The following is a 15,224-nucleotide window of genomic DNA, read 5'->3' as shown; positions in this document are numbered from 1 at the left end:
AAACAAGAGTACAGTACTAAAACTGTATAAAATAGCTACCTAAGATCATGATATTAACTTATGTGTCTTTAAGTCAGCATTCTCCAGAATCTAATTTAATTGAAATAGCTTTGCCTGTGTAAACTTCGCCTTTGTTTAAATAAGATTTCACTGTTTAGTTTTGCCTTAAGCAAATGCAGCCTTTTGTTTGTCCATAAAACATTAGATTAAATGTATAGACTAATATGAATAGCTTCTCATCATTCCACATGTACCACTAGCAGTTGCCCCCTTTGCTAGTGTGTGGTGTGGTGTATTATTGTCATTGAAAACCAGGCCTCTATCTTTAGGCTGTTCTTTGGAGAAAATAAATTTTTGGCAAGAAAAACTATCTCCTTACCATTATTGATTTTAAATTTGAAAGACTACATGAGATTCACTCTTTAAATTCAGCTGCTAATGTTCTTAATACAGTGAATTATATGAGTATTTGCTCTCATAGTAAGTATACTGAGTTTTTATCTTTGTTTTAATGCTAGCTACCAATTTTATGTAGCTAGCCCTGCTGCCCTAACAAAACTGATTATTTGGCCCTTTTTAGGAAGTAATGTACAGTAAATGCTATGATCAGATTTGTTCCCTGCAATCCAACTGTGATTTATTTTCTGGTTTCTATGTTGATGAATAGTAATTTAGAGATACAATGCTTGGTTTCTTTGTTTTTTGTTAAAGCTAACATCAGAATCCCAGTGGAGGGGGCAAGTACCATGATATAATTCTTGTAACATGTGCATTTTCCCTGTTCAGGCAATGCTGGACGTGGCTGCAAACCAGGGCTGGCTGGTGACTGTCCTGAATATCACCAACCTGATTCAGATGGTGATCCAGGGTCGGTGGTTAAAGGACTCTTCTCTTCTTACACTACCAAACATAGAAAACCATCATCTTCACCTTTTCAAGTAATTGTTTTACTTTTCAATGTAATTGTTTTGTTTTGATTTCAAAAAAATATTTTTTATATATGTAGTCACTGAAATTTTATGTTATGGAGAATACTGATTATTGACATGGAAAATACTCCTGTTTCCCAGAGTGAGACATGGCCAAGTGACGTAACATTCTTGTTTGGAATTTGATCATCAGTCCCAAGCTGAACTACAGTTTAAACTTCTCCTATCTAAATCATTTTCCATTTGAAGCATTGGAAACATTTTTATGTTAATGTGTTTATTCTTTTATAATATCAATCTTCATTTAAGAAGATATCATTAAAATGCTTTGTGATCTAAAGCAAAATAAATGATCAATGTCTGTTATCGTTGAGGAGATTTGAGATATCTGAAATCCATTGTCAAAAGTAAATTGTGCATCTGCAAAATGTCCCAAACTAGGTGGTTATACATATTAGGAGCTCAAGATATAACCTATACGTAAGAGTTTATGTTAGCACCAAACCCGTAAGTCTCATGTACATGACTGAAATATGTTTGCAGGGAAAAGAACAGTGTCTAATACAAGCAGGGTTGGCAATGTTTAATTGGAAATGTTTCTTTCACACCAGTGTTTCACGCCAGTTAAGAGATACTTTGCAGCCAAAATATTGGTTCACAGTCATGTAGACAAGCAAAACAATCTGGCCGTAGCTTGCCGTCATGCACTCCCTACTCCTGTTCATCTGGATGAGGGGTGGCAGTTATTTGAGACATCTAGACACAGATGCCAACAAGAACCTCAGGCACACAGCAAGTCTCCTCAGGAAAGTCCCTCAATTTGACTTAAATATATTGGGTTCCAGGGCAGTTGTCTCCATAGTACTTGGGTTCTTACCATGGGATGTCCCTAGAAACTAAAAGACACTCAGAGAGCGTGCCATACCAGCAGCAGATGGCATGGGGAGAAAGGCAGATAACCCCCTGTGTGTCTGCAGCTCAGTTTCAGGAGCCCTTCCAGTATGGTATAAAAGTTATGGGAGTAGGGTTTCAGCAGTAAAGAACGCACATTAGGGTACTACCACACGTAGCACACAGGTCTGCTATGGTAGCTGCTTGGGGCCTAAGAGATTTGATACAGTTTTCACAGCACTCTTAAGAGTGCTGTATTAATGTAATTTCAATTATATTTTTCTTCTTACTGGAAAATTTATGTGGCCTGTGTTTCTGGGATCTAGCACTACTTATGCTGTAAATCTCAAAAATTCTCAAAATGAACTTTTAACTTTATGTTCCCAACAACTTATAATTTAAAACTTTATTTAAGTAATTATATTAAAGACATTTGCTACACTCATTAAGCACATGTCAGGGGTCCAGATCAGTACTTCATCTACATGGAAGCATTACTTCACATTAGTGCCTTCCTGTGGAAAGACACCCAATGTCTGTGAACCCTAAGTATTTACTGACTTCACATAAAATTAATACATTTGATGCAGTGATAACAGTACTGCCTTGGGCTGTTATCCTATACAGAATGCTGGCTGAATTTTTAAACTTAGCATAATGGTCTTAAAATGTTATTTCTTAATTAAAACAAAAAAAGCTATAATTATATAAACCACCATTGTCAGAAAATCTTCTTTGTGCTGTGAAACAATTATTTGGTTGGTTTGATATTATTTCCTAGGAAATGGAAGCCGATTATGAAGGGCCCACATGCTAGGGGTCGGACCTCCATCGAGTCCCTTCCTGAACTGATCCATGCCTGTGGAGGGAAAGACCATGTATTTAGCTCCATGGTAGAAAGTGAGCTACATGCTGCAAAAACGAAACAGGTAAGACCATCTCTTAAGTGTTTTGAAGGCTCCCCTACTCTGAGAAGGTGTACCAAGAGTTTTCTAACTTAGAGCATGGATTTTGGAACCAGGCTCACCTTGAGTTAAATTGTCTCTGCCATTTACTACTATGATTATGAACATGAAAACATAGATGTCTCAAGAAGTTCTTGTGAAAATTAAGGAAGATACTCTTATGTAAACTGCTTTATACAGTTCTTGACATAGAGTAAGAACTCAATAAATGAATACTAAAAATAATGACAGTAATAGTAATTAATAGTGGTATTGGCATTATGAGAAGTTGTTTCAGTATAAATGCTACTAAGCTGGCTGCGAAAAGCCTCATGTAGCTTGTCCATCACTCGTCTGCATTATCCTAGCCTTCTACTCCCTCTCTTCAGGGTAGTGTTTCCTTCTGTATGCTTGGGTATATTTTCATGCAATGCCCTCAGTTATTTGTTTATGCCCCTCTCTTATTATAATCACTTTGCTTCTAGATTCAAAAGTATCCTTTCAAATAAACTATGTGTGTGAGTGAACCATATAACTTACATAGAAAGCTAAATCTGTATTGCAGAAAACAACAAGGATCATGTCTCCAAGCAATCTTTAGGAAGACCAAAAATATGAATGAACAATGCCAGAAATATTTGGCTATCTAGACTTTAAGTCTTAAGCAGTTTTACCCTAAACATGTCAAAGTAAACGTTCAGGATTTATAACATAATTAACATATTGACTTGCAAATGCAGGTATTAAGAAACTTCTAAACCGTGTCTTTTTTTTTCCAAGTGGAACTTATTTTTGAGCAAGACTTGGAAAAAGTGTAACAGGCATTAATGTCTGATTGACTGTTCAGTTTCTGTTGAACCCAAGATTGGCACAAAATACTATTTAAATATTCATAATAAATGCCTACCTTTCTAACTAAATTACCATCAAAATTATGAATAAAAACAATATATTTAAATCAAAACAAAGCTTCTGTTAGCAACAACAGATTTCCAACATAACATACATTGATTTCAAGCCAAGTTTTAGATACGATGAAAAATTAGAACATTGTTATAATTAGTTCAGGGAGAACTCAGAAGTAAACTTACTTAATTTATTTGCATAAATTGCCATTCTGTTATCTTTAAAACCAAATGCAAATTGGCTCTGTCTGATATGATGATGGTTATTTGGCTCAAAAGTGCTTCAATTTGCAGAGCAATCTGGTGCCGGCTCTGCAGTGAGGCGATCCCAGGTAACATACAAATCCTGAATTATTCCAGAAATTAGTATGTTTAAAGCATCAATTTAAGTGCTAATTGCAGTAGTAATGAGAAAAAGCAGTATGACTGTGAGATTTGCATCTTCTACCCCATCAGTATGCCTGGAACGGCTGCTGACTGGCAGAGGATTTGGCTGCTAATTAAATAATTGTATGCATGGTAGTGCTCTTGCCTGATTCAATAGATGAAGATTAATCCTCAGATAAATATGTTTGGCTGGTATTGAAATGTCTTAGCAGTTTCTTTAAAAATAGTTCATGTTTTATATACATAAATATATATATATATATCCAATAAATATATGTGTACACATTGTAGATTGAAAATAATAATAACATTAAGTCCTACAAAAATTACATATATATAAAAGCCAGATATGACATTTGGGGACTTTGTAAAGTAAAATCCCAATGAGTTACTAATAACAAAACATTATATTGGTAACTGATTTAATGGTACAGGTAAAGAAACATAACAAGTCTTGCTTCATGGGGTAAATGTTACTTGTGCTGTCTGACAAAGTCAAATGCTTTACAGAAATTGTGTTTTTAAGTCCCCTTAACCCCTTTTCCAGACTGGCCAGTCCTAGAAGAACATCTAGTGGTACAGCTTCTATACTTAGTGACTATGGGTTCTAGCAGGGGATAGACCATCCTTTGTACAGGTTGTACAGATTGAAGTACCATCTGTGGCTTGACTACTTCAAAATCCAGTTCAAGACATGATTTCAGATTGATAAGACAAGTTATAGGATTGGAGTTGAATTGAAAATTTGCATTGAATTTACATTTTTTTTAATTCCTAAGGGGTAGTTTGGTTCATCAGGACTACTTCATTTCAATTAGGTATACTCAGCAGCACTAAGCAAAATCAAAGCCTATAAGGAAATCTATAGTATATATTAAAGGAATAAAAGAAAAACCAAAATTAAAGTACCATGTACTTTTAAAAACTAACTGAGAAGGTAACAACTGATTAAAAAAAAAAAAGCCAATGTATTGAGAAGTTTTCTTGACTGATGGTGATATTGCCATATAAGTGTATATGTTAGAAAAAGATGACCTCAAGTTTTTTGTTACATCTTTTCTGTAGACCTAGGTATTCTCATTCATTCATTCATTATTGTTGAGCACTTGCTATTTGAATACTGATTTTTTACAAATGTCTTTCCACTTCAAGAGCAAGTATAAAGTTAGGTAAAATATCTTTTAATGTGTCATTTTAATTGGTATTCTCAGTATGATGATGCCAAAAATTCATATTTGTTTCTAGAAGGAACCCTAGACTTATAGAATTCCTTATGATATAAAATATAAAGAATTTTTTTCTGAATAAATAGGGCAAATTTGAAATATGGGCCAAAAAATGTACAATAAGTGGTCAGTGGAGGATTCTAACATCAATAATTGAATTACAAAAATATTTTCACATTGCCCTTTTATCCCCAAGTAATGCTCTCCTTCTTAGAAGCCATGTGAATGTCTGAATAGATGCTTCTCTAAAACAAACCAGTTCGATAACAGACATTTTTTAACTTGTTTTATTTTAATATAGTCAACAGCTGCTCAGTATCAGGAAGGATTTACAATAAAGGAATCACAAGTTTAAATAATGATAAGCCCTCTTTTAGTTATTTTTACAAAGACATTAAAAAGACTAAAAGCACAATATTCTTACACATACATGCATATAGACACAAATACAAGAAAAATTGGGGAAATCTGAACAAAATCACTGGATTATGTTAATGTCAATATCCTAGTAGTAATAAGTACCGTAGTTTTGAAAAATGCTACCTTTGGAGGAAACTGGGTAAATGGTCCACAGAATGTCTCTGTATTATTTCCTGCAACTGCATTGGATCTAGAATTAATCTCAACATTAAAAGGTTAATTTTCGTCTAAAAGCACACTATTTCTTAATTGATCATTGCATTTCACATAAACTCCTCCTTTATTGTTTCTTTTCTCTTTTTATTTAGGCATGGAATTTCTTATCTCACTTGCCAGTGATAAATGTTGGCATAAGTGTTAAAGGCTCGTGGGATGACTTAGTTGAAGGACATAATGAACTCTCTGTCTCAACTCTGACTGCAGACAAACGAGATGACAACAAATGGATCAAATTGCATGCTGACCAAGAGTATGTGCTTCAAGTGAGCTTGCAGAGAGTCCACTTTGGGTTCCACAAGGTATAGTGTTTGGTTTCCATTCTCAAATATTTCACACCAAATACCAGCATGCACCACCACACATATCTGTTATGTGACTAATGTGCCCGTGTCATTCATGAATCCTGCTTTCTCAACTGGTCTTAAGCAGCGAGAGTTAGTCTTTTGAAATTCGTGAGTTCTCCTCATGTGTCATTTTTCAGCCCCAGAAAATCTACCTTACATAAGAATATATTGCCTAGAGTACTATTCTCAAAGTATGGTATACAGACTCTGGCCAGCAGAATTTCCTGGAGTGCCTTTTAAAGTGCAGATTCCTTGGCCCCACTCCAGACTGGCTGAATCAGAACCTCAAGGAGGCGGGAATCTCAAAATCTATACCTTCACTCAGTGCCCCACATGATTTTTAAGGGCCTTAAAGCTTGAGCAGTACTGGCCTAGAGGCACTTTGGTATACAGGAACCACATTGGGCTAGATGTAGATGAGACTGAAGCTTTACCACTTAGCTCTATGAATTTGAATAAGACATTAAGCTTTTCTGAGCCTCAGTTGCCACATTTGCCTGCGTCCTTCATTATAATGCATAGGAGAGCTTTGTCAATGTTCATACAGGCAAAAATGTACAGTATTTTTATTTTAGATTACTATGCTCTTTTCTGTTGCCTCTGATTATCTGGTCCTCTAAGAATATTAGTACACAGCAGGTGGGCAGATTGGTTTTTAGTGCCATAATAATTAAAATAAGAAAGAATTAGTCTTCTTTTTGGTCCAGTGGATTCAGGGCTTTCCCATATCTAGAATAAGCCCTCAGGGGTGAAGCTGTAGTTCATAAGTATTGTCCCTTCTGTTCTCACACACAAAATGATCAGTAACTTTCTATTCTTAAGATGTTCTTTCAGTATTGTACCTTCAAGTCTCACCTCATTTGATTTCTAATTCTAAAAAAGTCTGTCAGTGTAAGTATTAACTGATTGGCCTCTGGCATTTCAGAGGCTTTAGTATGAGCTTTTTTTTTTGATACGAAGTCTCACTGTGTCGCCCAGACTTGGCTCACTGCAACCTCCACCTCCTGGGTTCAAGCATTTCTCCTGCTTCAGCCTCCCAAATAGCTGGGTTTTACAGGCATGTGCCACTACACTCAACTAATTTTTTGTATTTTTAGTAGAGATAGGGTTTCACCATGTTGACCAGCTCATCTTGAACTCCTGACCTCAAATGATCCACCTGCCTCTGCCTCCCAAAGTTCTGGGATTACCAGCATGAGCCACCACACCTGACCTTAATATGAGGTTTCATTTGTTTGTTTGTTTGAGATGGAATTTCACTTATGTTATCCAGGCTGGAGTACAAGGGTGCAACATCAGCTCCCTGCAACCTCCGCCTCCCGGGTTTAAGCAATTCTCCTTCCTCAGCATCCCGAGTAACTGGGATTACAGGTGCCTGCCACCATACCCAGCTAATTTTTTGTATTATGTTGGCCAGGCTGGTCTCAAACTCCTGACCTCAGGTGATCCACCTGCCTTGGCCTCCCAAAGTGTTGGGATTACAGGCGTGACCCACTGCACCTGGCAATATGAGCATTTTTTAGATGACTTAATGTATTCCAACTTATAAAAAAAAGTAATAATTACAAACTAATAATAGTAATAATAAAAATAGCAACAATCATAAAGATAAAATCATGGGGGAAAACTATGATTTTTTTACCTTAATATTCTACTTAAAGCTTAGATTTAATCATGCCAGAAAATCTCTTAATTTTTGTTTCTGAATGCTGTAAAAATATATTACTCTCTGACTCCCTTTTGAAATACTGTAAGTGAAACATCTCCCTCTAGAATACTGAGTGAAGTCTGAGAATGTATCATTATTACTATATTTTATGCCATAAAGTCATTGTCTTAAAGAATCATTAGAATAATCTTGCATTTTATAAAAATTGATCTAAAATAAAGACCTCAAGTGCGATCATTATATTTATATCTAATTTTGGATTGTGGTGATTAATATATTTTACAAATTGCTTGACTTAAAATTGCCCATTCCTCAGAGAAGGGACTTTTTAATGTTACCATATTAGAATATGTGCTTTTTTATGTGAGTTTTATTCTTGGATGAGGGGGAAAGTATGTGTTTGATATAGTACTCATCATCTTGGGGTCCAGAGTCTAGTCTTGATTGGCTTTGTGTTTTTGTTTGTTTGTTTGTTTTCTTAAGCATTCGTTTTTGGTGAATAAGGTTTTGGAAGATTTGATTAACATGGTTATGTCTCAATTTGTTCATCTACCAATGTGGTATTAAAGTTAATTGTAGGAATAGCATGAGAATTTGCTAATTTGATGTCAAGATCCAGAGTTTTTTATTCTAACTGGCCATATATTCTGATAGTTACAACTACGAACTAGTGTCTATAATATGCTCTGAGAATCTTGAAGTAAGTTAAATAATTGCATATCAAAGACACCAAACCAGAATGGAAGAAAATTTAAAACATCTCAGATAGATATGCTGAACTATGTAGATGTATGGCCTTCAAGTAAGACAACGTAGCCTTAACCACAACCAAGTGGTATAGGAAGTCTAGATATTTTTAATGTTGTATCTTTTTTTCTGGTTTACAGGGAAAGCCAGAGAGCTGTGCAGTTACTCCTCGATTTCCCAAATCAAAAGACGAAGGATGGTTTTTGATATTAGGAGAAGTGGATAAGAGAGAACTTATTGCTTTGAAAAGAGTAGGATATATTCGAAATCATCATGTTGCTTCCCTTTCTTTTTATACCCCTGAAATACCTGGAAGGTAAGAAGAATCCTACTACCAAAGTTCTCTTTTTTTTTTTTTTTGAGGCGGAGTCTCGCTCTGTCGCCCAGGCTGGAGTGCAGTGGCGCGATCTCTGCTCACTGCAAGCTCCGCCTCCCGGGTTCACGCCATTCTCCTGCCTCAGCCTCCCGAGTAGCTGGGACTACAGGCGCCCGCCACTGCGCCCGGCTAATTTTTTGTATTTTTAGTAGAGACGGGGTTTCACCGTGGTCTCCATCTCCTGACCTCGTGATCCGCCCGCCTCGGCCTCCCAAAGTGCTGGGATTACAGGCGTGAGCCACCGCACCCAGCCTCCTACTACCAAAGTTCTGAAAGAATTAAATATGATTGTGATTACAAAAGTGGTTTTACATTTTTCTTCTATTTTTATATTTTAGGTATATCTACACATTATATTTCATGAGTGACTGCTACCTTGGCCTGGACCAGCAGTATGACATCTATCTCAACGTTACACAAGCGAGTCTTTCTGCACAGGTCAACACCAAGGTCTCTGATTCCCTGACTGACCTGGCATTAAAGTAACTTGACCTGAACAATCCATTTGAAAGGAGTGGCTAAGAATTCTCTCTGTTCAGTCATCTAGACAAATCGAATTACTTGATGTTTGCCTTGAAAGAATCAACTTCTAACCTCAACCATCCAGGAAATTGACAGTGGCTGCAGTATTGACTCCAGTGACATAAAGTTAACCACAGTGGCCTTTTAACAAATGTTGCCTTTTATAATGTTATCTTTATGAGTTTCTTGATATGTAAGATGAAAAAGCATTTAGAATAATCTTTTAATTTGTGTATATTTGGGATGATATTTAGGAGCTATCAATCAAATTTTACATCTCACAATGTACTGTTTACATGGATATTGGCTGCTTTTTTTAAGGAAAACCACATTGAGATGTGACAAGTGTTAGGACTTGTCACAGATTTCTAACTCTGCCGCATAAACTATAAATCTGTAAGGTGGTACACAGCGTGTCTTGTTAGCAAAATTTATACTTTGATATGATCACATGTAGAAGTAGCTTCAAGAATTTCTTGTAGTCATAAATGTTTAATAATATATGATGTAAAATTATATTATGGAGCCTAATGATGATAACAAAGAAAACAATATACTGATCTTAGAAAATGTAGACATGGTTAACTGGGAAATAAAATATAGAGTGGCACTTCAAGACAAGCTGACTCAATGTTTTCTTCTGCTTCCTTTAAATAATATCCCCTTACTCATCTGTTCTTCTTTTCTTTCCCTTCTACTTCAAGGCTTTATTTCTATTATCTTTCTGACATATTTATTTACAGAAGTAGAGAAGTATAATCTAATTCATGTTGTAGCACTTACAGATCATATAGTACAATTATTTGTCTTTATGCTCTCCAGGAAAAATCTGAGACAGAAAATTTTTCACCCCTATGGATAGGTTTTCACCTGTAATAAAGAAAATTTCTCTATGTCCAAACAAATTCCTTCTTGAAAAATACTTTTTCAAACTAAAAACTTGTTAAAATTCAATGTTCATATAATATGCATTCTAGTGGAATGAAATTCTACCTTTGTGAAATAATTTCAGTTTTCTTAGCCCTAAAATGAATTATTTTAAAACATTTTCCAATGTCATTGTTACAAATACTAGAATTTAAGTGTTTCTGAAATTGGAATGTATTGCTTGTATATATCCTTTTCCATGCTTAAATAAAAAAGAAGAAGAAATAAATGTAGGTTGCAGGGGAACCAGTTATTCACTTCCCAAAAATTAAATCGAAATAACTATTGTGAGCAAACCAAGTATAGTGAGAATGAGGTGTCCCAATTACTCTAGTCTGAGAAATTTACTTCATATAAAGAGTTCTCTCTGTTTTTTCTTTGGCAAAGTTTATTACCTAATTGGAATTTATATCTTAACCACTGTTTTAGTAGAATTAAAAGAAAATGGAGATTATATATAGATAACAATCACCAGTCCATACAGGAACCTGAGGAGTAACAATCTCACTGATTCCATGTTTACCAACATCATTCCTTTTTGTTAGCGAGCAAGCCAACTTGGGGAGTCTCCTTCACTGGACATACGACACAGGACATAGGAACAATAAGAAAGTATTTCTGTTGTCCCCTTTAGAGAGAAGAGAAATAATGTGACAAATTTAAGTTAATCTTATTCCAATGAGTGACCGACACTATCTACAACTTTATCCACACTCATTACTCAACAAAAATTGTAGTGTTAAATGTGTCTTAGAATATATGCCAACATATTCAGATTAGTACTACTATTTACATATCTGCAAGTCATTCACTTCTTATAACTTTTTTAGTGGCCAAGAATTTTCCCAGTGTTTAAAATAATTCCAAATGCTGATTATTGAGAGAATGCATTTGTTCTAAAGTGTCTTGGATGGTTTTGTTTTCGTGAAGAGAAATATTGTGATAAAAAGGTTTCAGGGCTGTATTATAAAGTGCTTTCTTAACTGATGTACCCACACCACAGCCCACTTATCTCAGAACATGCACCTCTGGGCTGGCTATCACACTATACAACTCTGTTTTCATGGCAGGTCATTTCATATTTCTCTGGAGTTTATCAACTCAAAATAATTGAAGTTCCAGTCAAGGATTTGTTGTAGGCACTGTGTTGAGTATTCTGATACCCACATGAATCAGAAACATATCCTGCCTTCACAAAGGGTAGCCTGGGGTTGACAAGATGTCATAATTATAATAAAAAAATTGCACTAATACTAGTGATGGGGGGAAATGCTATGGGAGTTCAGAGGTAAAATATTACTTAGAAAAATCATGAAGCGACATTTAGGCTGTTTTTAAGATGCTTAGTATCGGGAAGGCACAGACGAAAGAGGACATTCCAGGTAGAATGGCATTAGCAAAGTTTGGAGCTACCCAGCCTGGAGTGGCTACGTATGCATTCTCAGAGACATGAAAGGGATCAATAGGCAAGAAGAAGGGGAAAGTCTGTGAAGTGACTGTGAATTAGAGAGTAAAGACCATAACTCTTATGTGAATACAATGGAATTTCTTGGCAAGTCACCAAAGGTTAGGGTTTGGCTATGTGGGAGTTTTCTTTATGAAAATCTGGCCTAGATGTAGAGATGATATGACCAAGCAAGGAAGTGTAGCAAGAAAAGCCAAAGAAGCAACATTCAAAACCTAACTGCAGTAAGGAATCAGGAAGGACCAGAGAAGGTTATGACGAAGAACATTCTGAGAGTGGAACAGACAGCCAGTGCAGAGAGGAGACAGCCAGGAGCCTGGCAGGACATGCGTCCATGCCTGTGGTAGGTGATGGGTACTAAATACTGACAAGAGGTCAGGGAAGTGAGAACCAAGTCAAGGGTCCTGACTTTGGGAGCGGTGGATCATGAATGATTGTTAAGAGAGTAAGTTTAGCTAAATAGGAAGAGAGAAAGCTGAGATTTCAGGAGGTAAGGACCAGAGTGGGCAGTAAGAAAGGAGAGGCAGTGAATGAAGAAAGTAATTCTACAGGCTTCGTTCAGCAAAGATCCAGTGTTACCACCTGCATTGAAGAAGAGTGATGATAGAGCAGACAGGAATTGGTAAGAATCAGCTTGTTTCCTTTCAACGTTCTCCCCTGCAACCACCATTCCTGAACACATACAAATATATGTATTGGCCCTCATCCCCACCATTACCACTATCAAGCTGAAAACTAAAACTCCTCACACATTTCCCAAAATACTTGGGTTGTCCTTAATCTTATTCAAGTCAAGGCGGATTCCGATTCCCTTGCTGACAGGCCTTCCTCTTTCTTGTTACATTTAGAAACAACTGGAATTCAACTTTCATAAACAACCGTCACATCCCCACAACCCCTGACACCAAAACACAGGAGACTTTTAAGTGTGGGGATCCTTCAGCCCCAATGATAAGAAAATTTAAAGAGGGAGTCTACCTATTTCCTTGACGTGAATTAGAAGCCCTTCTCATACTTAAAAATTCCACTGCTAGCTTTGATGGGAAGAGGATACGGTGGTGGGATATTCAGTCACCAAAAATCATCTGTCTTCTCTTCCCTTTACACATACAAACAACACAACAAAGTCCAAATATACAAGATTGACCCCCTCCCCCTAATTTTGACTGCCCCTTCTCGCCATTTAATCCAATAGCCTTAGAAAATTACACGTCACTTCCCAAGCATATGCTCCACACATACCTCCAGTTGCTCAGGACCAAAACTTTGCAGTCATTACTGACTCTGCTTTCCTAATCTAATAGAAATGTAATTAGAAAACCTCAACCTACATCTAACCTGTCAGCAGACCTTTTCAACTCTACCTTTGAAACCTATCTGAAATCCAGCCACCTTCCCCACTGCCACCCTATCCACTCCACCTACTGGCTGGCCTCTCTGCTGCTACTCTTTCCCCTTTTCAGTCTTTACTCAACAATTTGTTTTTTGAAACATAGGTCTGATCATGAGTTCACTCTGCTCAAAAGCTTCCAGTGCCTTTCCATCTCAGAATAAAAGCCAAAATCCTTACAGTACCAAAAGTCCTGCACAGTGTTGCCTTCTCCCCTCACTACCCTCTGACCCTCCTACTCGCTACACACCAACCACAGGAGTCACCTCCCTGCTTGTTGAACTCGCCATTTCTACTCCCTCATTTGGATGACTGTTGCCCCTAATCTCCATATGTCTCATCATCTTATTTTAAATGGCAAACCCACCAAATCTCCCTATCCCCCTCTCTTGTTTGTTTTTTTTCCATTGTTTTATCAACACTATTAAAATATGTGTTGATTTATTATTAGTCTCTTCTGACTATGCTTCAGGAAAGCAGGGATTTTTGTCACTTTTGTTCACTGCTACAAAGAAGGACTTACATTTCCTGGCATACGGTCACTCGATAAATACTTTCTGAATGACTAAGTGAACACAGAGGCATACGGGAATTCTAAACTACCTCCGCCCCCACCACCACCACTGCCTCCACACACACAGTTAACCACTTTTTCTTCTAGGGATTACAAGTACTCTCACACTCACCAAAAGCAAGGTACTAACTGACCATCTTGTATCTTTTGTCAACAGAGGAAAGGTATACTTAATTGGTAGTTTTATGATGATGATTGTTATGGAAAAGGAGAATGAGTTTTTGTGTAGTAATGGATCTTAGGCATTACAGATATTTTAAAACTTCCAATGATTGTAGAATCTTTCTCACCTGAAGTTTTAGCTCTCTGTCTTCTCTCACCAGACCCTTTCCTTCCCTCCATCACTGCTGCTATTTACAGTGAAAAGACCCCCAAATAGGATCTCCATATAGTTAAGAATATAGATTGATAATAATTTTGGGCCTTCTGTTTTTAGAAATAATCCAAAATGAGTAGGCAGAAATTATTTCATGAGCTAGCTTCTTAAAAGAAAAACCTAAATTAAGTTGCACATCTTTCAATTAAGTATTACTGAATATAGAACTTGGCTTCAGAGATGTGGATTAAGCCCTTGGATTAGCTTTCTTTTTCTGGCTTCAGAAATAGAAATTCTAAGTCTAAGCAACACAGGAGATAAAAACATTTTGAGTTTCATAAGTTTTAGTTATATTATTTTCAGGTACTCAAAAATGCCAAGAATGAATGCTGATTCCATGTTGCCCTGGAAGCCTGTTTTTTAAGCAGTGGAGGAACAGCTATCATGAGTTCTGGAAAGATTTAGTCCCACAATTTCAGCTTCAGTCCTTCCACTCTTCATCATGGAGCATTCAGTACTATCTCTGAAAAATAGAGTTGTTCAAATTTGAGGCCTTTAAATGAAGTTTCAGGGATTCTATTTTGCTTGAATATTCTTCCCAAGACTTTGCATTCCAATTTGAGAAAGATCTTGCAGGGGTGCTGTTCAGATATTAGATACAGGCTGACCCAAGGTCAAGCTTTTGGCTAAAAAGACAGACATATTTGAATGGATACTTAAATTTGTATCGTTATTCTTCGATTGCCCTGTGATTTGGAGAATTTGTTTAAAATGCACCTGATTAAAGTTTCCTAATACTGTGGCTGTAAGTTGTTAACCATTCCATAGAGACTTCCTGAAGAACATGATGGACTATAGATCAAACCATGTTGGTTGAGCAGAATCACAACTTCTAATTAAAAGTTCTTTGAATCCCCCAAATCCACATTTCTTTACTTGTTACTTTTATTACTTGGGTGTCCTTGATGTTACT

At 36.6% G+C, this 15,224-nt stretch overlaps 1 protein-coding gene across 5 annotated transcripts in view; it reads left to right on the top strand.

Moving 5' to 3' along the window:
- ASCC3 (activating signal cointegrator 1 complex subunit 3) overlaps positions 1 to 10,735 on the top strand; it is a 373,136-nt gene extending 362,401 nt beyond the window's left edge. For all 5 annotated transcript variants that reach the window (NM_006828.4, XM_011535394.4, XM_047418108.1 and 2 more), the window contains 5 exons: positions 787 to 938; positions 2,602 to 2,749; positions 6,011 to 6,220; positions 8,822 to 8,997; positions 9,396 to 10,735. In NM_006828.4, coding sequence (NP_006819.2) covers positions 787 to 938; positions 2,602 to 2,749; positions 6,011 to 6,220; positions 8,822 to 8,997; positions 9,396 to 9,543 — 834 coding nt within the window. In that variant the 3' untranslated portion in view covers positions 9,544 to 10,735. The remainder of the gene's footprint in view (positions 1 to 786; positions 939 to 2,601; positions 2,750 to 6,010; positions 6,221 to 8,821; positions 8,998 to 9,395) is intronic.
- The last annotated feature ends 4,489 nt before the right edge of the window (positions 10,736 to 15,224 follow it).

This window comes from Homo sapiens, chromosome 6 (genome assembly GCF_000001405.40).
Source record: "Homo sapiens chromosome 6, GRCh38.p14 Primary Assembly".
Taxonomy (NCBI): Eukaryota; Metazoa; Chordata; class Mammalia; order Primates; family Hominidae; genus Homo; species Homo sapiens.
The sequence above is the reverse complement of the archived record's forward strand: the minus strand, read 5'-3'. Positions and strand labels throughout refer to the sequence as shown.